This window comes from Homo sapiens, chromosome 6 (genome assembly GCF_000001405.40).
Source record: "Homo sapiens chromosome 6, GRCh38.p14 Primary Assembly".
NCBI lineage: Eukaryota > Metazoa > Chordata > Mammalia > Primates > Hominidae > Homo > Homo sapiens.
The window spans coordinates 110,630,604-110,654,120 of NC_000006.12; the positions used below are offsets into that span (position 1 = coordinate 110,630,604).

At 39.7% G+C, this 23,517-nt stretch overlaps 1 protein-coding gene and 1 pseudogene across 18 annotated transcripts in view, besides 1 other annotated feature; one reads left to right on the plus strand and one right to left on the minus strand.

Moving 5' to 3' along the window:
- Nucleotides 1–23,517, minus strand: part of CDK19 (cyclin dependent kinase 19) — a 205,878-nt gene that overhangs the window by 20,626 nt on the left and 161,735 nt on the right. For 13 of the 18 annotated variants that reach the window (XM_047418470.1, NM_001300964.2, XM_024446376.2 and 10 more), the window contains 2 exons: nt 8,046–8,103; nt 1,427–1,558 (listed from right to left, as the gene is read on the minus strand). In XM_047418470.1, the coding sequence (XP_047274426.1) occupies nt 1,427–1,558; nt 8,046–8,103 (190 nt within the window). Of the gene's footprint in view, nt 1–1,426; nt 1,559–8,045; nt 8,104–12,587; nt 12,820–23,517 lie in introns of those variants that run through there. The other 5 variants (XM_011535630.3, NM_001300960.2, XM_005266871.4 and 2 more) reach the window with 4 other exon arrangements.
- LOC100129155 (phosphoethanolamine/phosphocholine phosphatase 1 pseudogene) lies at nt 14,963–16,152 on the plus strand (annotated as a pseudogene).
- Nucleotides 15,971–16,907: an enhancer, noted in NCBI's record as "H3K27ac-H3K4me1 hESC enhancer chr6:110967777-110968713 (GRCh37/hg19 assembly coordinates)". NCBI's record gives its function as "activates a minimal SCP1, AML or CMV promoter by ChIP-STARR-seq in primed H9 embryonic stem cells {active_cell/tissue: H9 hESC(primed)}" and the evidence as "EXISTENCE:reporter gene assay evidence [ECO:0000049][PMID:30033119]".

Consider the following 23,517-nt stretch of genomic DNA (forward strand, 5'->3'; position numbering starts at 1 on the left):
CACTTGCTGTCTGTAGTTCTTCCCTCACCTTTTGCAGACGGCTGCCACTGTCCACTGATGACAGCCTGGCCTTGGTAGCCTCTGATCTGCTGCCTTACCAGAGGCCCAGCTGCACAGGTAAGGGTTTTATGTCACTCTCACATTTCTCTACTGTCAAACACATACCAGTTTACTCAGAGGCTTTTTCACTAATTTAACAAAACTATTCAGCAGTATTTATCAATAATTTACAATATTGCAGCACTGTGCTAGAGTCTGTGTCTCTGGACAAAATCTAAATGTGTTCTGGTGTCTGAGTTTTGCAGAAATCAGACGTCTTGATGAATGAGGACTTACTATATTTTAATTTTTGTGTTCTTTTTTAACCCATGAGTAGGCTAATTATCAGTCTAATCTTTCCAAGTGTGAGAGTTTCCTTTGTAGCTCTTTGGGTATCACCAGGTTTTTCATAAGCTTGTTTAGCAGAGAAAGGATTGTGCTTGTCTATTTTTAATAATTTTATACTTGCAGTGCCTTTATTAAATAGAATTCAACAAAAGCAGCTAAAGGTAGCCAAAACTGATATGAGACTAATGCCAGTAAACAGAAAATTCAATAAAAGGAAAATTTAAAGAAATATACTTAGGAAATTTGGATACCTTGTAGAACTATCCCTTCTAACAGCTACAATGTACTCTCCCCTACTCTCTCCTTTTCCTTCCTTTAAAGAAATCTCTAGGTTTGAGGAGGGCCAGCTCCTACTGACTCCCTCCATTCACAGCTGGGCCGTGTGAGGATACTGCAGTCACCAGGTAGCAAATCTCTGAAGCCACTGTTCTGAGGCAGACTTTAAATTTTACACAGTGTGTTTATAACAGATTTTCTTACTCAGTTTTTTTAACTTGATGAGATGGCAAGACGCTGAGCACAGCTAATCTACCCAGACTCTATTTCCTACCTTAATGGAGAAACTGCCATTCTCATAACTGTAATGGCAAGAGAGAAAGATTAGTTATATTGCTTCTTGCTTAGGAAACAATGTGACTAACTTTTCCCCAAATAGAAGGGGTTCTTTCCAATACTGCACTACTCCTGTTTTTGTTTTTCATTTTGTGAAGAAAACAATTCTCAACTTCTCTCCAGTTCTTCTGATCAACAGCTACTAAGTACAAAATAAAATGTGCATGTTATTGTTTCCATAGCAACTCAACAGGATCAGATACTGATACCTCTATTCTCTGAAAGAAAATGTTTTCTTCTTTTAAAATAACCATATTCTCCTATACAGTTAACAATCTAAATCTACCAGAAATCTAGGAATACAGAAGACAATAGGACTTTTACAAAAATGTATAAAATGGTTTTTATCAAGTAGCTTTATTATTATACCATTTTATATTTATGATCGTTAGATGACAAGATAGTAAATCATTTTAGACCAACTTACCAATGGCCTTTGTATAATGCCTTGCACCAAGCAAAAGTTCTGGAGCCCGATACCAAAATGTCACAACTACTGGATCCAAATCTGCTAGTGGCTTTAGAGGAGAATTGAATAATCTGGCAAAACCCATGTCAGCTAAAAAAATAAAATAAATTAACATAAAATTCAGTTTGATTGTTTCTCGTCCTTTTGGCTAAGATCAAGTGTAAAATTCAGTTTGACATGCTATTAGAACCATGCAAGGTTGACAACAATAGCTGCTGACCTTATAAAGCAATCCTTTTCCTCCCTTTTTAACCAGAGGTCTACACCAAGTACCAGAAAGGAATTAACTTCATTTACCTTTATTATCTACCATCAGAAGGACATACTATTATTGTGCCTGTTTTACTGATGAAGGAATTGAAGCTTAAAGATATTCTGGGCTGGTGGGGTGGCTCACACCTATAATCCCAGCACTCTGGGAGGCCGAGGTGGGCGGATCACCTAATGTCAAGAGTTAGAGACCAGCCTGCACAACATGGTGAAACACCATCTCTACTAAAAATACAAAAATTAGCTGGGCATGGTGGTGCGCACCTGTAGTCCCAGCTACTCGGGAGGCTGAGGCAGGAGAATCGCTTGAACCAGGGAGGCGGAGGCTGCAGTGAGCCAAGATCACACCACTGTACTCCAGCCTGGGCAACAGAGTGAGACTCCATCCCCTGTCCCCCAAGAAAGATATTCTGATTTGCCTAAGGTCACACAGCTAGTAAGTGCAGAGGCAGAATTAGAATCCAGGTCTGACTTTAGATTCCTGGCTTTCAGAGAGTTACAAAAACATTCTTAAGTGTTTTTGAAATCTAAAATAGTTCAAAAGTATCCCTGATTAATAATGACTTCTGTATGCTTATACATTTAAAAACTGACTATGGCCAGGCGCGGTGGCTCACGCCTGTAATTCCAGCACTTTGGGAGGCCGAGGCAGGTGGATCATGAGGTCAAGAGACCAAGACCATCCTGGCCAACATGGTGAAACCCAGTCTCTACTAAAAATACAAAAATTAGCTGGGCGTGGTGGCGCGCACCTGTAGTCCCAGCCACTACGGAGGCTGAGGCAGGAGAATCACTTGAACCCAGGAGGCAGAGGTTGCAGTGAGCCGAGTTCGTGCCACTGCACTCCAGCCTGGGTGACAGAGCAAGACTCTGTCTCAAAACAAACAAACAAGAGACAGAGCAAGACTGTCTCAAAACAAACAAACAAACAAACAAAACCTGACTACGTCTTAGTTCAGTGTGTGCTGCAGCCAGATCCAACAAACTCACAAGAGCTGACATATATATATCTTTTCCCAATTCTGCATTCAATGACAGCATACTGATGATTTGGAATTGGCTATGGTAGGAGTATCTACAACATGGAAAACAGCAAATGCTACAAATTGGGACATTTTTTGCTCCAGAGAGCCAGTTGCTGAATGGTAATCAGCACATTACATGCATGTTTTCAAGAGCATACACAGAACACATAAAAGATAATTTGTTATAATTCGGCATTTAACAAAGGTCTAAACCAAAGCTAATCAATTGAAATATTGGGGGTATATAAAAGTAATAAAAAAAATTACTACTGCAATAAGATCCTGGAAACTAATTTTCTTAAGATATCATAAATAACCAACATCTTTTATCTACAAAGTCCTTTGCAGTTTACAAATGGCTTTCATATACATCATATTTCACCTCATTGAATCCTCATAAGAACACTGGTTTAATCAGTATTTTGCTCCCTATTTCAGAGATGAAGAATCTAAGGCCCAAAGCAGTTAAATGACTTGCCTGTGGTCACAGGGATAGTAAATAAACATGCCAGTACTCAAACAAAAACCATGTTATAATTTAGGAGCTACCTCCTTAACTACTAAATCTGACATCCAACAAATTATACATATGATAATTGCAAGTCACAAAGGCAAAGTCACAAGAATAAGCCTCTATAATTTGAATACATAATATACATAACAAATGTTGATTGTATAAGGGGCCCCAATGTACTATAAAATGCATAAATGCACATAAAACTTTCAACCACAGAATGTCATTTAATCTAAAACTAATGTGCTACGGTATAACATATTAAAATTTTAATTTACATTTACATAAGCAGAACAGGCAAAAAATCTTTTTAATTTATAGAAATTTCGGGTCTTTGTCTTGTGTTTTTGTTTTGAGATGGAGTCTCGCTCTGTTGCCCAGGCTGGAGTGCTGTGGTGCCACCTCAGCTCCCTGCAACCTCTACCTCCTAGGTTCAAGCGATTCTCCTGCCTCAGCCTCTAGAGTAGATGGGATTACAGGTGCGCCACCACCATGCCTGGCTAATTTTTGTATTTTTAGTAGAGATGGGGTTTCACCATGTTGGCCAGGCTGGTCATGAACTCCTGACCTCAAGTGATCTGCCTGCCTCAGCCTCCCAAAGGGCTGGGATTACAGGCATGAGCCACTGAGCCCGGCCTGTAGTGATTTTGTTTCTTTGGATTTTGAATAATTTGTAAGACTTTTTTGAGAATGCTTTGGAGTATCCAGCTCTTAAAAACTAAAGCTATCCAAAGGAAGCCTGTGCTGATACCTACTCTTTTTAAACTACATTTCCCTACAGCAAACAAAAATATTCAAATTCATTCTACCAATATTACACCTATTATTCTACAATATTACACAATATTCAAGGCACTGTTTTATATATTTAATAGATGCCAATTGTTGTTGATGACAAAGTAATATGATGGAATGCTGTTTCATCCATTGAAAAACATTCTAAAGTAAAGTTAGCTAAAGCCAGTATTTCTCCCCTTATTCTCTACCTCCTCAGTTTTACCTAAGCCTCATCTACTCACTCGCAGATGCAATCAAGGCCAGAAGGAAAAAATACATACTTTTAAAAACAATTCCCATCTATTTTATGAACTTTAAAAGAGTTTCAAACTACTTTTCAAATAAATACTGATTTAGACAAAAGGTAATTAGCCTAAAGATTACTGTAACAGTTGACTTTCTAAAATTACACATGGATGAAATTGTTCCAGTTCACAGATAAGGTTAGTAAAATTCTGGTGTGAGTGCTAATTAGTATCAAATGAAAAGCAGCAACAAACAAGGTCTACCACTAAGGAGTTTACAGGAAGGTGAGATGACAAAATATACAGAGTAGAAGCAAAAAAGTGATAAGTACTGTGAGAATAAAGGAAGTTGTTACCGGTTTCTACTAGATGCTAAGTCCCCTGGGGGAAGGTCTATTTCTCTTTTATTATGTTATCTGGAACAATGTATAATAAACATTTGTAAAAGCAGACTAAATTGAAAGTGGGACTTGGGCTGGATCCTGCAGGATGAATTATTTTGAATAGCAAAAGAGGAAGGCAATAAGCATTTTAGGTAAGACCTGGGAAGTTTTTAGGTTGCTGAGAATGGGAAGGCTTAGATACAGCAAAGGGCAAAATGTGTTTTCCATGCAAGTATCCTTTTCTTACCCACTCCCCCTCCCCCACCGCCTCCCATATGGAGTCTTGCTCTGTCGCCCAGGCTGGAGTGCAGTGGCATGATCTCGGCTCACTGCAACCTCCGCCTCCCGGGTTCAAGCACTTCTCCTGCCTCAGCCTCCCGAGTAGCTGGGATTACAGGCACGCACCACCACGCCCAGCTAATTTTTGTATTTTTAGCAGAGACGGGGTTTCACCATGTTGGCCAGATGGTCTCGATCTCTTGACCTCATGATCTGCCCGCCTTGGCCTCCCAAAGTGCTGGGATTACAGGCATGAGCCACTGTGCCCAGCCCAACTATCCTTTTCTTTTAAGCAAAAAACAACACTGTATCAAAGCATTAGGCATAGGCATTGGTATTACTAATGTTTAAAAAACAATAGTGGCTACTAAAACAAAATTTAAAATCTATTTAATAAACTATCTTGATTGTCCATTAGATCTTTATCATTAATTATTACTTACTTTTAACCCTAGTTTTATCCCTAATCTTGGCAGAATTACAATCTTAAAACTCTTAATAGTAAGGTAACTAACTGGCCTGGCCAGAGTACAGAATTTTGCTAAGGAGTACTAAGAGAACAAATTAGATTGGGGTGACTGGGAGAAATGTGACGAATGGTACAAACAAGGGGAATACAAGATGATGATGATGAATTTGGTTTGGGACAATGGAGGATAAGTTACCACAAGATATCCAAATAGAAATAAAGACTTCGGCTAGGGTGAGAGATTAGACTCTGGTATCAAGATCTTAGAATCATTTTCATAAATCCATGATCCTGAGGCCATAACTTATCAATTTCCTAAAGAAGTAATTTTAGAGGGAAGCCATGTCCTAAGCCAGTGCCTTGAAACAATAGGTTAGTAGAAGTAAGAGGCAAGAATGAACAGAAGGCAAAGTCACAGCAAAAGTGGGAGGCAGAAAAATGGAATTATGGTATGCCATATAGACCAGCGGAGAAGACACCCTCAAAGCCAGGACTGTCAGAAGAACAAATGGTTTACTGCAGTAAAGGAGAAAGTTGATTAATACAGGCCACTTGATTTGGTAAAGTAGAGGTCACAGGTGTCCTTTCAGAGAGGACTTTTGATAGAGGGATGGAATTAGAGGCCAGGTTATAACAAATTAGAGTAAGTGGAACCAAAGAGTGAACATCATGTGTTCTAAAAGTAGAGGAACAAAAAGGGAAATGAATAGAGCAAGTGCTAAAGAAAAACAAGATGGATATAAGATGTATTTTAAATTGGGAAAAGGACGATGAAGGTTTAAAGGTGAAAAAGAGAAACTTGAGAAGGGGAAATAGCAATATTGTACTATGAGGTAGGAAGACATTTAGAAGCTAGGAAGGGCACTAGTAGATAGGACTTAGGAAAGGAAAGTCTGTCTTTCACAGAGGCTTTCTCAAGGGCAGGGCTGTACAGCCAAAGAGTAGAGGTCAGTGAGATCACACCAGACAGCTCTGATATCACTAGGCAGGGATGTTTGTAGGGAAAGAGCCTCAGGACTTAGAATTCAAGTTCTAGCTTTGACAGGCTGAGGAAGCTACAACCTCTCTAAATCTTGTCTTCCTTATTTTCAGAGGGTGGTTGTGTAAAATAAATGCGGTAACATCAAAGTACATATTGCAATGTATAGTAAACTGTTCATTTTACTGTCTCTCACAGAAGGGACCATCCTTTATCTCCCTTTCGCCTGTATCTGGCAAAAAGTAGGCACTCAATAAATGCCTCTAAGAAAAGGAGTGCAAGAGTAAAATAAAAATAGACAAGTGAGAAATTATGGTGGAAGTGGGGGAGGGAAGAGAAGGAAAGCTACCAGCTACTTAATTAACATCAACAAACTTCTGAATGAATCTGATAATCTCAGCAAACTTAGGCTAGAGGTGTTTAAAGAAAAGGAAGTTGGTTTAGAACAGCTTATTTAGCAACTGGGCTAGGGAGTTAACTGAAAAAGTAGAAAACTAAACAGCAGGGTGGGCTTGAAATAGGGCAGCATGAATTTGTAGTGGGTCAAGTGAGCACAATTTTGCATCACCTTTAGCATGGTATATTCTAATAGCAAAGAAACCAGGCTGATTAACACATTTTAACATATTTCTAAAAAGCATTCAACTTTCAATAAATATAATTTCTAGTAAAAGAAACCAGAATAGGCCTAGCGTGGTGGCTCATGCCTGTAATCCCAGCACTTTGGGAAGCCAAGGCAGGCAGATCACCTGAGGTCAGGAGTTCGAGACCAGCCTGGCCAACATGGTGAAACCCCATCTCTACTAAATACACAAAAAAATTAGCCAGGCGTGGTGGCGGGAGCCTGTAGTCCCAGCTACTTGGGAGACTGAGGCAGGGAGAATTGCTTGAACCCAGGAGGCGGAGGTTGCAGTGAGCCAAGATCGCGCCATTGCACTCCAGCCTGGGCAACAGAGCGAGACTCCGTCTCAAAAAAAGAAATTAGAATAAAGCATTTCTTAGCTCATCTTCTCCCCAAATATGTAATAGGTATAAATGATGCTGATTTTTTTTTTTAGAACATTCAGGATTATAAAGGAAATCTTAATATACAAATAAGAATCCTGCCAGTGCCTCAATCTAAGAGAGGCAGCTAAGAGAGTCTGTAAACATATATATCTATTTGGAAAAGGTATGTTAGTACTTGGTGCAAGACATGCAGGCCAGGTGTGGTGAAGTAGGGAGAACCTGTGAAGGTTTAAATATATTCGCTCAGGGTGGGGAGGAAAATATTCAGGAAGAGAATAGTTGGTAAACCTGAAACAGAAGTGAGATTTAGAGGATTATATTTAAGGTGGCTGTGCAGGACAGTGGTGGTGACATAAACACATGCTTGGGTTACTGTATGGGAATGAATGCTTTTGTGAACTAGCTTGTCAATTTCCAGTGATGCCTCAACTTAGAACTAAAGAATCTTATTTTGGGAAAAAACCTAGGAGTTTTGTAGACTATCTATCTACATTTTCCAATATCTTTTCTAAAAATAATGAGAAAGTAATTTTAAAATTAACTACCTAAATAAGGGCATTAAAAAGGGAAACCATCTTTGCAGTTAACTTCAGTTTTTAAATAAATTATTTTAGGAATAATTACCTACCTATTTTGACTCTCCCCCTCTCAGGACCTTCTCCCATTACTAGGATATTTGCTGGTTTCTAGAAATAAAAATAGAGCATTCAAATTACCATGTTTATTCTTTTGACATGCTCTAAAATGGAGAAAAGTTCTTATCATATAAAAAATCATTTCTGTATTTTCATCAAAAGTAAATCAAATATTAAGCACCCTCTACATAGTTAAAGCATTTGACATAATTGAAGTCAGCACTAACTTTATATGAACATCCTTGCTATGGAAACACACCTTATTTTCAAAATTATATCATACAAATAATTACAAAGCAATTAAAGCTATCATTTCTAAATAGATTCATCCCGCAGAAAAAACTAATAATAATTTTTAAACCTGCACAGTTTATGTGCTTGAAAAATTTTATATAAAATTTCAAACCACAACATAATCGCCTTCATATGAATAAGTTGAATGGAATATTCCTTCCTAAATATTTCTAAACTACCGTAGAAAAACATGATCAGCATTCAACAACTCTATTAAAATTCATGCATCAGCTATCATACATGCAAAAGTAGGAAATTCCAAATATAATTTCAAGATGTAGGAAAATAAAAACCAAGGCTAATACAGAACTATAAAAAGAAAAGAGTAGGCTGCAAATGTATCTACCATATTTTCAGTCACCCTTATCTGTAGACACTTGGAAACAGAGAAACTGTTGAGATAGGCTTTGGAAGGGGGAGAGAGTGAGTCTCCTTTGTAAAGTCTTTGAAGGAAAATGTATGTGTTATTAACTTACTGGATTCATTTATTCAATCAACGAATGCATTTTTTGTATCTTCTAAGGATAAAGAACCATGCCAATCTTTAAGAGGGAAAACAAAAGCACAGTAAAAACCAAGTTCCTAACCTCCAGACGCTTACTACATAAGTAGAAAGAAAACTAAGAAGGATTGTATAATATTAGAAGCTAGTGCTATGTATGAGTTATAGAGAAGACTGAGGTTTTGTGTTCAAGATTAAACTGGATTACTTTAAAGATCCCTTTCAATTTGCTGATTGTTAAAAATGTTTCAATGAAAACAAAAAGCACTTAAAAAACAAATTCAAAGGAGGAAGTGATGAATTAAAGATTCCACTGTTAAGGGAAATGCTCACTGGGGATGGAAGTGGGAATGGTGTCCATTAGACGGATATGAAAATGAACAGGAACCATCATGGCAGAGTAGAGGAAGGGCAAGGACACCATAGGAAGTGGAAAAAGGATATGACCAGGTATGCATAAGACGCAGAAGTCTGACTTGGGCCAGGTGCAGTGGCTCACACCTGTTATCCTAGGACTTTGGGAGACCGAGGCGGGAGACTCACCTGAGTCTAGGAGTTCAAGGCCAGCCTGGGCAAAACACAAAATAGTAAGATTCTGTTTCTACAAATAATTTTTTAAAATAGCCTAGTGTGGTGGCATGCACCTGGAGTCCCTGCTACTCAGGAGGCTGAGGCGGAAGGATTGCTTGAGTCTAGCAGATTGAGGCTACCAGGGTACTACTGTGAGCCATGATTATGCCACTGCACTCCAGGCTGGGTGACAGAGCAAGACCCTGTCACAAAAAAAAAAAAAAAAAAAAAAAAATCTGAAAAGGGCTCATGTTGAGGGTAGTAGGATGAACCTAGACTCTGGATAGTCTTAAATGCCAAGTGAAGTAATCAGACCGTTATATTACAGTCAGTGAGTTTACAGGAGAGGATGAGGGAGTGGAATTGGATGTGAGGTGGTAAGAGCTCTGTCCAATGTCTTGTCAGCAGAAATGGCAAGGGAGGTATGGAGCTGAGAAGCATTTTAGAGGAGAAAATTAACAGGACTTTGTGACTGGCTTAAGCTAAAAGATTAAGAAAAAGGGTGGTAAAGATTTTACCAAGGTTTTAAGTTTATGTGACTGGAAGAATAATGGTGCCTTTCATGGACACAGAAAAGTTATAAGAGGTAATGGTTTAAAAATAAGGAACAATAAAGAGAAGGCGACAACATATTGAGTTTGAAAAATGGTTAGGCGTGGTGGCTCAAACCTGTAATCCCAGCACTTTGGGAAGTCGAAGCAGGAGGATCGTTTAAGCCCAGGAGTTTGAGACCAGCCTAAGCAACCTGAAGAGACCCTGTCTCTATAAAACATAAATTAAAAAAAATTATCCAGGCATGGTGGCACATGCCTGTGGTCCCAGCTACTTGGGAGGCTGAGGTGAGAGGACTGCTTGAGCCCAGGAGGTCGAGGCTAGAGTGAGCTGTGAGCGTGCCATTGCACTCAAGCCTGGGCAACAGAGTGAGACCCCGTCTCAAAAAATATTAAATAAAATGAAAGAGTTTGAGAAATGTGAAATGCCTAAGTCATACTAGCCAGAGGAGTGAGAAGAGGAAGATTTGGATTTGAAAGTTATTATCACCAGAGTGTGATACCTGAAATGAGATTGGTTCACCATACTAGAAAGAAAAAGAAAAAGATTGGTTCACCATATGAGATGAGATTGGTTCACCATACTAGAAAAAAAAAACTATTTATCAAAGGTCCATTATGTAAAAAGTGTTGTACTTCAGGCCTTTAGGAAACAACAGGAAATAAAACATGAAGATCTTGACTTTAAGGAGCTTAAATCCAGGAGGAAAAGACAGACAGCTTTTAAGACTACAAGGAAGAGGCTGGGTGCAGTGGCTGACACCTGTAATCCCAGGAACTTTGGAAGGCCGAGGTACGTGGATCACCTGAGGTCAGGAGTTCAAGACCGGCCTGGTCAACATGGTGAAACCCCATCTCTACTAAAAATACAAAAATTAGCCAGGCATGGTGGCAGGCACCTGTAGTCCCAGCTACTTGGGAGGCTGAGGCAGGAATCGCTTGAACCCAGGAGGTGAATGTTGCAGTGAGCTGAGATCGTGCCACTGTACTCTAGCCTGGGCAACAGAGTGAGACTCCATCAAAAAAAAAAAAAAAAAAGAAAAAGAAAGGAGAGGAAAGGAGGAAAGGGAAAGAAAGGAAGGAAGGAAGGAAGGAAGGAAGGAAGGAAGGAAGGAGGGACAAGGCAGAGGGCAGATTATGAAAACTATCAATATAGAAAGAAAAATTGCATGGAATGAATGATTCTTCTCATTGAACATCAGAATAGTCTTTAGGAAGATGACTCTGGATGACTTTAAGTGAGGATAACTAAGATTTGGATAAGCATAAACAACAAAAATGAAGAGTTTTCAGGCTCATGGAACCCTACAGGTAAGGACATAAAAACACAGACATGGCATATTGACAGCCTAGACATATTTTGATGTGACAAGAGCAGTGAATGTTTGGTGTAGAAATGCAACTGGAAAACAACTTTGGGAATAAAATACCAGATTAAGGAAATTGGAGGCTGGGCGTGGTGGCTCACGCCTGTAATCCCAGCACTTTGGGAGACCGAGGCGGGTGGATCACGAGGTCAGGAGTTCGAGACCAGCCTGACCAACATGGTGAAACCCCGTCTCTACTAAAAATACAAAAATTAGCTGGGCGTGGTGGTGTGCACCTGTAATCTCAGCTACTCAGGAGGCTGAGGCAGGAGAATCGCTTGAACCCGGAAAGCGGGAAAGCGGAGGTTGCAGTGAGCTCAGACTGTGCCACCGCACTCCAGCCTAGGCGACAGAGTGAGACTCTGTTTCAAAAAAAAAAAAAAAAAAAAAGGGTTCAAGACTTGGCATTGCCTTTTCACACTATCTTCTCAACCCTCATTCATTCAACAAATATTGTTTGATCACAAACTAAGTAACAGGCAGTGATTTAGATGCTACAGAAGCAGCAGAAAACAAAAACAGGAAAAATCCTTGCCCTCGTGGAGCTTACAGTCTAGTGAGAAGAGAAAGGCAATAAATAAATAAGTATACAACATATCATATACTGATAAGTACCATGGAAAAGAAAACAAAAAGAGAATACAAGAGATTGTCAAATCTGCTATTATGGCTGACTAAGTGCTCTGAGGGACCCTCCCCTTAACAGAACAGCTATATGCTATATAAGAAACAAACCAGGCACGGTGGTCCACACCTGTAATCCCAGTTACTCCAGAGGCTGAGGTGGGAGGATTGCCTGAGCCCAGGTGTTCAAGGCCAGGCTGGGAGAAACCCTGTCTTTGATAGGAGGGGAGGGGAGGGGAGGAGTCAGGAAGGGGAAAGGAGAGTAGAGGAGAAGGGAGAAGGAAAGGGGGAAGAGGGAGAGAGACAGCAGAGGAGAGGGAAAAGAGAGAAAAAGGAAAAAGAAAGGAAATATTCCTTGAAGCATCCCAGATTGCACAAGAGATAACAAACTTTACCCTCACTCCAAATAAGGTATCCTTATGGCTGGAGAGTTAAGGAAAGGCAAGGTAGGCCTGAGAGCAGCTGCCAATAATGCACTTCAGCAAGGACACTGAGCCTTGGGCCACCAGCAAGGTAAGGAAGCTGAGCCTGCTACCCCACAATCACTAAGACCTTCAAGGGCACTAAAGGAAACCTAGATGCTACCAGTAGAAGCCAAAGCAAACCCCTTCTGGAGGAAACACTTACCAACTTAGGCCTGACGAGTAAAACAATACATTTTCCAGCTAAAAGACACAGGTATTTCCATAGTGGATTAAAAACAAAATCCATGCTATTTAAAAGAGGTCCACCTAAAGGTAAGAACCATAAAAGCTGAAAGTAAAAGGCAAACTGCCAAAGGAAAGCTGAGTCAACTATGGTAACATCAGATAAAATAGCTTTTAACACAAAAACATTATTAGGATAGAACTGGAGATCATCACATTAAATTAAATAAACCAGGCATAGAAAGACAAACTTCGTATGTTCTCACTTATTTGTGGGAGCTAAAAATTAAAACAATTGGCTGGATGAAGTGGCTCAATAAATAAAAAAGGGATACTAAGATTTTGGGGTTATAGCTAAGGATAACTAAGATTTTGATAAGCATAAACAACAACAACAACAAAAAAGTTTTCAGGCTCATGGAACCCTACAGGTAAGGACACAGTCACATAAAAACACAGACATGGCATGTTGAGAGTTTATATATATTTTGATGTGACAAGAGCAGTGAATGTTTGGTGTAGAAATGCAACTGGAAAACTATCTTGGGAATAAAATACCGCATTAAAGAAATTGGAATTTACTCTATAGGCAAAGCCAAGACAGGACAGTGATCCCAGCACTTTGCAAAGCTGTGGCAGAAGGATCACCTGAACCCAGGATTTCAAGACCAGCCTGGGCAACATAGTGAGACCCCATCTCACTATTAAAATTTAAAATTTTAATTAAATTAATTAAAAATTAAGTTAATTTAATTTAATTAAACATTATTAAAAATTAAACTTTTAAAAATTAAAACAATTGGCCAGGCGCAGTGGCTCATACCTGTAATCCCAGCACTTTGGGAGGCCAAGGCGGGCAGATCACAAGGTCAGGAGTTTGAGACCAGCCTGGCCAACATGGTGAAACCCTGTCTCTACTGAAAATACAAAAATTAGCCGGGCATGATGGCCCGTGCCTGTAGTCCTAGCTACTTGGGAGGCTGAGGCAGGAGAATTGCTTTAACCCCAGAGGCGGAGGTTGCAGTGAGCCAAGATGAGGCCACTGCATTCCAGCCTGGGTGACAGAGCGAGACTTCATCTCAAAAAAAAAAAAAAATTAAAAAAATTGACTTTATGGAGATAGAGAGTAGAAATATGGTTACCAGAGGCGGGGAAGGGTAGTAGGGGCAGGAGAGAGGAGGAAGTGGGGCTGTAATGGGCACAAAAAATAGAAAGAATAAATAAGAAGTAGTATTTGATAGCACAACAGGGTGACTACAGTCAATACTAATTTAATTGTACTTTTAAAAATAACTAAAAGAGTATAATTGGATTGTTTGTAACACAAAGGATAAATGCTTGAGGTGATGGATACCCCATTTACCCTCTTGTGATTATTACACATTGCATGCCTTTATCAAAATATCTCATGTAACCCATAAATATACACATCTACTATACACCCAGTCCCTCGCAGGCTGGAACCTCGGCACACTTCTTGCCCCCGACCATGGAACAGAAAGCCATGATGTTTTTAAGCAGAACCAGCGAAACCCAAGTCCCTCCTTCCTCTGGTGTTTTAGAACTACAGAGGAGGTGAAGGGGGCCAGGGGGAGGGGAGGCAGGGGGGAAGATAAAGGACAGGAATCTACTATGTGTCTGTAAAAATTAAAAAATTTCAAAACAAATTAGGGGTAGAGATGATCACTATATAATGATACAAAGTTCAATTCACCAGGAAGAGGCAATAATCCTAAACCTGTTATGTACTTGAAAAATATATATATGAAGCAAAATAAATATAACTTCAGGGAGTAAAAAGGCCAATGATAACATACTTTCCTCAATTATTCATATGTCAAACAGACAAAAGATTAGTAAAATATAGACTATCCAAAGGATACAATTAACTAGGATGATCTAGAGAGCATATACACAACTTTCTATCCAGTAATTAGAGAGTACACATTTTTCTCAAGCACACATGGAACATTTACAAATACTGATCATATACTAGCAGGTCTCAAGAAATTTCAAGAAATTTTTTATCAAACAGACTATGTTCTCTAACCACAATACAATTAAAACTCTACATATTTGAAAATTTTTAAATATTTCTAAATTACTCAGAGTAAAAGGAGAAACCATAAAAGTTTAAAATATTCAGAATTGAAATAATGAAAATACTATCTACAAAAACTTTGTGGAAGACATCTAATACAGTACTTACAAGGAAAATGTATAGCCTTAAATATGTTAGGAAGAGAAAAAGGCTGAGAATAATGAGTTATGTGCTCAATAAGTTTAAAAAATAGAGAAAGAGAAAAGGTCAACAGAATAAACCAAAAGAAAGTAGAAGTAGAAAGATAAAGGGTAGGATGGGTGGGCAAGTGGAGGGGACCGTTCAGATGCACATCATCCTCGGTCCCTCGGGACTACAGGGACTCACGAGCCGGAGCCCAGAAATCCAGGGGTGGATAAGACACTTTGTCCCCTCCAATTTCCGAACTCTTGACGACGGCTGGAGGCCAACAGAGTCCCTACAGGTGGTGTCCACGGTAATGCATGGACAATGAGCGGCTGTTTTCCAGTTTCTGGCCTCTGGTGCCTATCTAGAGACGGAGGGATGGCCGCGCACGACGCGCCGCGCTTCCTCCTGACCTTCGATTTCGAAGAGACTATCGTAGACGAAAACAGCGGCGACTCAGTCCTGCGAACTGTGCCGGGACAGCAGGTGCAGGAGAGCCTGCGAGCCACCGACCGCGAGGGCTTCTACAACGAGCACATGCAGCGCGTCTTCAAGTATCTGGGCAAGCAGGGTGTGCGGTCGCGGGACCTGCGTGCCATCTACGAAGCTATCCCTTTGTTGCCAGGCATGGGCGACCTGCTGCAGTTTGTGGCTAAGCAAGGCACCTCCTTCGAGGTGATTCTCATCTCTGATGCTAACACCTTCGGCATGGAGAGCACGCAGCGCGCCACCGGCCACCAGAGCCTGTTCCTCCGCATCCTCAGCAACTCGTCGGGGTCCGACGCGCAGGAGCTGCTGGCTCTGTGGCCGTTCCACACACATAGTTGCGTGTGCTGCCCCGCCAACATGTGCAAGCACAAGGTGCTCAGCGACTACCTGCGCGAACGGGCCCACGACGGCATGCACTTCGAGTGCCTCTTCCATGTGGGCGACAGCGCCAACGACTTCTGCCCATGGGGCTGCTGGCGGGCGGCGACATGGCCTTCCCGCGCCGCAGCTACCCCATGCACCGCCTCATCCCTGAGGCCCAGAAGGCGGAGCCCAGCTCGTTCTGTGCCAGCGTGGTGCCCTGGGAAACCGACGTGCGCCTCCACCTGCAACAGGTGCTTAAGTCGTGCTGAGTACGGCCACCTGCAGGGGGTCAACCGGGCCAACGGCGGAGGGGGCGGGGAGGGGGGATTCGGAAAAGACAAAGTTAGTTTTACTACTCCCTTTTCCCTTTGGCTTTGCTATATGTCTCTCTGGGAATTTCTGGAATCTCGTTCATCATCCCTATCGATGCAGTTAACCCACCTCGGCTGCCTCCCCTGTTCCACTGCGCACGGTTGAGTTCTGGCGTCTGACTCATCGTGGGGTGGCGGGCAAACCTTGGAAGGCAGCAGTGTTTCCTGGTCCTCCCAAGTGGGAGGAAGGGGCTCCCCGGCAGGTGAGAGAAGGAAAATCTCCCACTGCTGTAATTGCTGCCTCGGGCCGCGTGACCGCCCGCCTCCAGTCTTTTGTGGAGGGAACCCAGGATCCTGAAATCCTCGTGGCTGCAAGGACTCCCCACAGAGACAGAGGAGGGTCTCCACCTATGCCCCAGGCCTTCGCGATCTTGCTTCACCCACCACGACCCGACACTATTTCTGCGCTGTCTACACCCTCCTGCCTCCCGACCCCTGCACTCCCCTCTATCACCCCCAAAGGAAAAGCCAGAGGGAACAACCGCCTCCTGGTGGTGGTACGAGGTAGCGCACCGTCCAGCTGGGGTCCGGCCGGCCAGTAACCTCGAAGCATGCGACGGTGTCTCTCTCCTTGCACCCCAGCCTTGTCTATGCAGCAAGAGACCAGCGACTTCACCAAAATCCCCCAACAATGGAACAGAAAGCCATGATGTGTTTAAGTAGAACCAGCGAAACCCAAGCCCCTCCTTCCTCTGGTGTTTTAGAACTACAAAGGAGTTGTGAAGGGGGGTGGGGGGGAGGGAAGATAAAGGGTAGAAATCCATGAACCAGAGAGAATTATGAAGCCTTTGGGACGACTGGAGCAAGAAGAGAGAAAGTGCAAATAAACTACATTAGATCCAGTAGAGGACAGAAAAATCTAAAAATCCCATGAATAACTTCATATCTATTAATTTGAAAATGTAAAGTCAAAAATGTAACCTACAAATTGATTCACAATGAATTAGAAAAACTGAAGAAACTAAGAAATGCTAAATAAACTAAAACTGTAGTTAAAAATCTTTCTGAGAAAACACCAACCACAGATGATCTTAGAGGGGAGTTCTCAAAATTTTCAACAGATTGTTTCAATATGATTCAAACACTGTCAAATAACAGAAAAAGATTAAATGCTCCAAACATATTCTAGAAGGTCAATATAATGTTGGTTGCAAAACCAAAGAATGAAAAAGAAAAACTTCAGGCCAACCTTACTCATGAATATAGTTGTAAAAATATTAAACAAAATATTAGTAAACCAAATCCATCCAGATGGCTTAACATGAGAAAATCTATGGAAGTTTATCACCATATGAACAGATTAAGAAGAAAATTATAAAATCATCTTGATAGATGCTGGGGAAAAAAAACAGCTGATAGAATTTAACACTCATTCATGATAAAAATTTTCAGCAAGTTAGGCTAGAAAAAATCTACCTTAACCTGACAACAGGCACACACTAAAAACTAAGAAGGAAACATTAGAAGTATTTCCTTTAAAATCAGAAATAATACAAGGATGCCTACTATCACCACTTATAAAATCAACATTGTAATATAAACCCGGTACTATAAAACAATAATTAAAGGTATATAGATTGAAGGGCAGAAACAAAAGTATTATTATTTGCAGATGCTATAATTATCTACATAGAAAACCAAAGTATTTACAGACAAATTGTTGGCAATAGTAACAGAGCTTAGCAAGATGTCTGGCTAACTGAATAATATGAAAGAGTCAACTGTTTTTCTATATACCAGGAAAAAAAGAGCTAGGAAATATAATTTTTCAAAGGTAACACTTCTATAGCAAGAAAAACCATACAATGCCTAAGAATAAATATATCAAAGAATGTACAAGATTGGTATGCAGAACACCATGAAATCTTTTTTCTTTTCTTTTTTTTTTTTTTTTTTTTGAGAAGGAGTCTCGCTCTGTTGCCCAGGCTGGAGTGCAGTGGCACGATCTTCGCTGACTACAACCTCTGCCTTCCAGGTTCAAGCGATTCTCCTGCCTCAGCCTCCTGAGTAGCTGGGATTACAGGCATGTGCCACCACACCTGGCTAATTTTTGTTTTTTTGTTTTGTTTTGTTTTGAGATGGAGTCTTGCTCTGTCGCCCAGGCTGGAGTGCAGTGGCGCGATCTCGGCTCACTGCAAGCTCCACCTCCCGGGTTCACGCCATTCTCCTGCTTCAGCCTCCCAAGTAGCTGGGACTACAGGTGCCCGCCGCCATACCCGGCTCATTTTTTGTATTTTTAGTAGAGACGGGGTTTCACCATGTTGGTCAGGCTGGTCTCGAACTCCTGACCTCGTGATCCGCTCGGCCTCCCAAAGTGCTGGGATTACAGGCATGGGCCACTGTGCCTGGCCGAAACCTTATCTTAAATGACATTTTGAAAGTCTTAAATAAATTAACCCATATATATAGATAAGAAGATTCGATACAGTAAAAAAAAAAATCAATTCTCCCCATACTTATTTGTAAATTCCATTTACAGTCATTTCCATCAAAATCCCATCAGGGATTTTGTTCCTATGGAACAAATTGATCAGTGGGATAGAGCAGAGACCCTCAATGGAATCATGATACCAAGAGAAAGGAAACCTGAGATCAGTAGAGAAAGGAGGATCTGTTCAATAAATGGTGTTGGTACAACAAGTTATCTAAATGTGGAAAAAATCAATTAAATGAATCTTCACCTTATACCATAAACACATCAATTTTAGGCAGATTAAAAAAGTAAATGTGAAAAAGCAAAACTTTAAAACTTTTGGAAAAAAATATAGAACATCTTTTTGATCCTAAGTTAGGGAAGAATTTCTTAAACAAGATACAAAAAAATCCTAATAATAAAAGAAAAGACTGATAAATTTGGCTGTATTAAAATAACTTCCAATTATCAAAAGATAAAGAAAATAAATGACAAAGCACAAACTGGCAGAAATATATGCAACACATATAAGCAACAAAGATTTAGTATCCAAAATAAAGAACTCCTACAAGTCAATATGAAAAACAACAAAATAGAAAAATGGGCAAAATGTCTGAACGGGCATTTAACTAAAGTACAGACAGGTTTAACCAATACACATATTAAAAAATGTTCAACCTCATCAATAATGAGGGAAATATAAATTAAGATCACAATAACATACCATTTTATACCTACTAGATGGGTTCAAAATTTAGAACTACTGAATAGGAAGTAGGTCAGTCAGAATTCCAGTACATAGCTGGTGGCAGAATAGTTGTTGGTACAACTTCTTTGGAAAACAATTTGGCATGACCTTGCAAAAGGAACAACTATATATAGCCTTTGAATCAGTAATTCCATTTTTAAAAATGCCAGATTACAATTTTTTAAAAAAATTGTGGTAGAGTCACACAATGAATTTTAAAACAGCAATAAAAAAATCACTGAATTACAAATAAATGTAAAACCATGTTCAAATCTTAGAAGCATTATGTTGGGTGAAAAGAAAGCAAGATTTAAGACTATATAGAACAGGATGCCATTTCATAAAGCTTAAAACCAGACAAAGCTAAAGAATATACTGTTTAGACATTTATAAAAATGTGATAAATCTATCTTTAAGTAGAAGAAAGTAATAGATTCAAAATCCAGGATATATGTTACCTCTTGGGAGGAGCCAGGAGGATAGAACAGGGGAAACATAAACATAAGCATGCTACTGGTAATCTTCCACTTACTGGGTAAGTGACAGGTTCTCTTATGCATGCTACTGGTAATCTTCCACTTACTGGGTAAAGTGACAGGTTCTCAACAGTTCACTGTATTTTTATGCTTTGTAACATCCATAAATATTTCAAATATTCTTGTATATGTATCATATAATAACAAAGACAAAAAATAAAGCAAGGCATGGGGACAGGCATTGTTGGGAGTGGGATGGGAGGGTATAATTGTCAGCATTATTTAAGCATTATTTTAAATTCTTCGGAGAAAGCCTCTTTGAGAAGATAACATTTGGGATAACACCTGAGTCAGCTGGGTGTCTAAGGGAAGGGCAGTCCTGGCAGAGGGAGGAGCAAGCTGGAAGGCCCAAAGCAAAACGGGGGATATCTGGAGACAAGACTAAGGAGAATAGAACGGGTCAGGAAAAATAGAGTGACACAGCAATAGTAATTATAAAGAGAGGAAACCCAAGGAAGGGCTTGCTTGCTGTTTCAAATGGTTCTGTTTTCATCCAAGTCATTTTAGTACCAGAATTGGGCAGGTTCTCGAGCACCTTCTGGCCTGTGCTTTGGCAGTTGGGGAGGACTGCTACTGCTACAAGGTTTGCAGGAGGGCAAGGGCAAGGTCAAGGTCATGGTGTTTAGAGTGGTTAGGAAAAACTTGGGTGAGCGAGCAGACTGGCTAATGAGAGAAACAGCAAAGAGGTCAATGTAAGAACAGGAGAGTAAGGACCGGAAATCAAGAGCTCAGGCAAAGGGTTGGGAAGGGGGTTGTCAATTATACAGAATCACATAACTTGGAGAGACTTCGGGTTTTACATGACTAGAATTATCATCACTTGTTATATTATCTTCTGTCTTATCCATAATTTTTAAATAGTTGAAATAGATCTACTATCTATCTATCTATCTATCTATCTATCTATCCGTCTAACACCTATTTATGTATCTGTCTGTCTAACTATCTTCCTCCTGCCCAATTTCTGATGGCAGAGGATTTGAAGAGACTATCACTTCTAGTACACTAAATATTTCTCTAATGTTTGCTTTTGTCTATTTTGGTATTGCTTATAATTAGAGAAATGGCATTTTAAAACACATAATAAAAAATAGGCCGGGCACGATGGCACAACTCTGTAATCCCAGTACTTTGGGAGGCCGAGAAGGGCAGATTGCTTGCGCTCAGGAGTTTGAAACCAGGCTGGGCAACATGGTGAAAACCCCATCTCTAAAAAAAATACATTCGTATTCCTGGATTTGGTTTACTAGTATTTTAATATTTTTACAACTACACTCATAGGTGAGGTTGACCTGAAATTTTTATTTTTCATGCTTTGTCTGGTTTTGCTATCAAGATTATACTGGCTTTCTAGAATATGTTTGGAGCATTCCCTCTTTCTCTATTATTTGACAATGTTTGAATAATATCAAAACAATCAGTTGAAAATTTTGAGAACCTGCCTCTAAGATCATCTGGGGTTGATGTTTTCTCAGAAAGATTTTTAACTACAGTTTTAGTTTATTTAGCATTTCTTAGCTTCTTCAGTCTAAGAAAGAAATAATAAATAAATAAATAAAGCAAGCAAGCAAAGGAGAATAAAGGGAGTTGAAGGAACAAGAGTCGATGAAAGATTCTGTGAAGGGAGAATCACTTGAACCCAGGACATGGAGGTTGCAGTGAGCTGAGATCACGCCATTGCACTCCAGCCTGGGCAACAGAGCAAGATCCTGTCTCAAAAAAGAAACAAACAAACAACAACAACAAAAACAAAGAAAAAAAGAGAAAGATCCTGTGAAGGAACATCAAAGGTAAGAAAACCAAGAAAGTAAAAAATAAATAAATAAGCTAAAAAAGAAAACAAAGGTAAGAAAACCTAGATAGCACAGGGTTCTCGAAGCTAAGAGAACCTAAAAAGTAGCCATCAGGTGCAACATAATGAAAGCTGAGAAGGCTATTGGAATGGACAATTGGGTCATAGGTGATTCCAAAAAAATAATTTCTGTGCATTTACAGAAGCCAGACACAGTAAATGAGATCCAAATAAATGGGGAAAAGGTAAAGGCAGATTTTAGAGTACATTTTTGAAAGCCTTAGTGAGAATGGGATCTCTAGGGGACATAACAATTTTTTAATTGTAAAATTATCAAATAAGCTATCTTATTTTTTAATTATTTTTCATTCCTTAAGTTTGAGCTTAAACCCTTTAAAAATAAAGATAGTAAGATAAAAACACTACGAAGTATGAGATCTGAGAGCAAAAATTGCTTCATGTAAGAAATGAACATAGATTATAAGCTGCTGAACGCAAGTAGTACAGGAAGGTGGTTTTAGATCACTCAGCTATCTCTTGATAGAAGTTCTTGCAGTCACACTATGTCGAAACAGAGAATATGAGCAACACAATGGAATGAAGACACAGAGAGAGAAAGGAGGAATATCTCTTTTCTAGTACTGAAGTTAGTAGAGAATACCTTTGATTTAACATACTTGAAGCCTATGGAAGCTCTAAGTGTGGACTCTCCATGTAAAGTCTGAGATGAGGGCAGAGGCAGTGACATCGTTTAAGGGAGTAGTAGCTTATGAGCTCTTTTGCACAGTTTGAGAACAGAACCTAGAGCTTGGGCAGTAACCACAGAGAAGGGCTCCTGTAGTCAAGTTAAGACCTGGAATTGCAGAAGGAAGTCATTTTTAAATGTGCATTTCTTTACTGGGATTGCCTGTTCCCTTTAGAACAAGTAAATAAATGTTAAGGTCTCAAGATACTTGATGTTTCAAAATATGAATAATAACAAAATGAATAATATAATCACCATCAAAGTGTGTTTAATTTTTCAAAGCATTTCACATCCATCATTTCATCTTTCTTAATGGAAATATTCAAGGGTATACAAGGCTATGGGTCAAGTCTCAGGGCAACTCCATCCAATCCTCAAGATTCTATATTAAGTTGTGTTTGCAGATGTTATGCTTAATTTTCAAAAGACTAATGGTGATTAATTTTAGTGAAAGTATATGCTCTTTTTTAAAAAAAAGAAAACTACAGTTCATGCATACACACCTTCACCCACATAAAAAACCTAAAAGGATGAAGAAAGGATACCAAAATTGTTCTGACCTAGTTACATCCCAAGTAACACAGACTATGCTTTACTAAAACTCCTCTTCTTACTGTGAACACAAAATGCCAGCTGTGAAAGAAAGTGATACTGCTGGGTTTGCACACTTTGGTTACCATAGAAACAGTAGAAATGGCAAGAGTTGGATGCCTCACATTTAAGTTATCGGCAATAAAATCAGATAGATAAACCAATGCCCAGGGTTCATTTTAGTTAAATTGTATTTTAAAGGCAAAAGTCAGGGAAATAATGTGATAAGTAATATGATTACTCAGAAGCTACTCCTGAAATATCTGCATTTTAGCAGAATTTACTTAATGCTTTAATTTATATTCATGATACTTAACATGTACTCCAGATTTGCTTTTTCCTTCTATAGAATCAATTTTTTCACAGGGTTAAATATATTTCAGTTAATTGGCACATTATGAGTAGCACAGCCTAAAGATACACAATCTTCCTACTACATTTGCTTTCTCCCACCCCAAGACATTTGGGACAAAAATATGAAACTCATAATATGACTCTTATCAGTACCAATAAAGAGAGAAAAAGACAAACACAATTGTCTACAATCCTGAATAATAGGAACAGAGACAATCAGAATATCAATTGGAGTAGTTTCTGAAACAATGAACAGTGCCGGCTTGATATTAATGGCTACA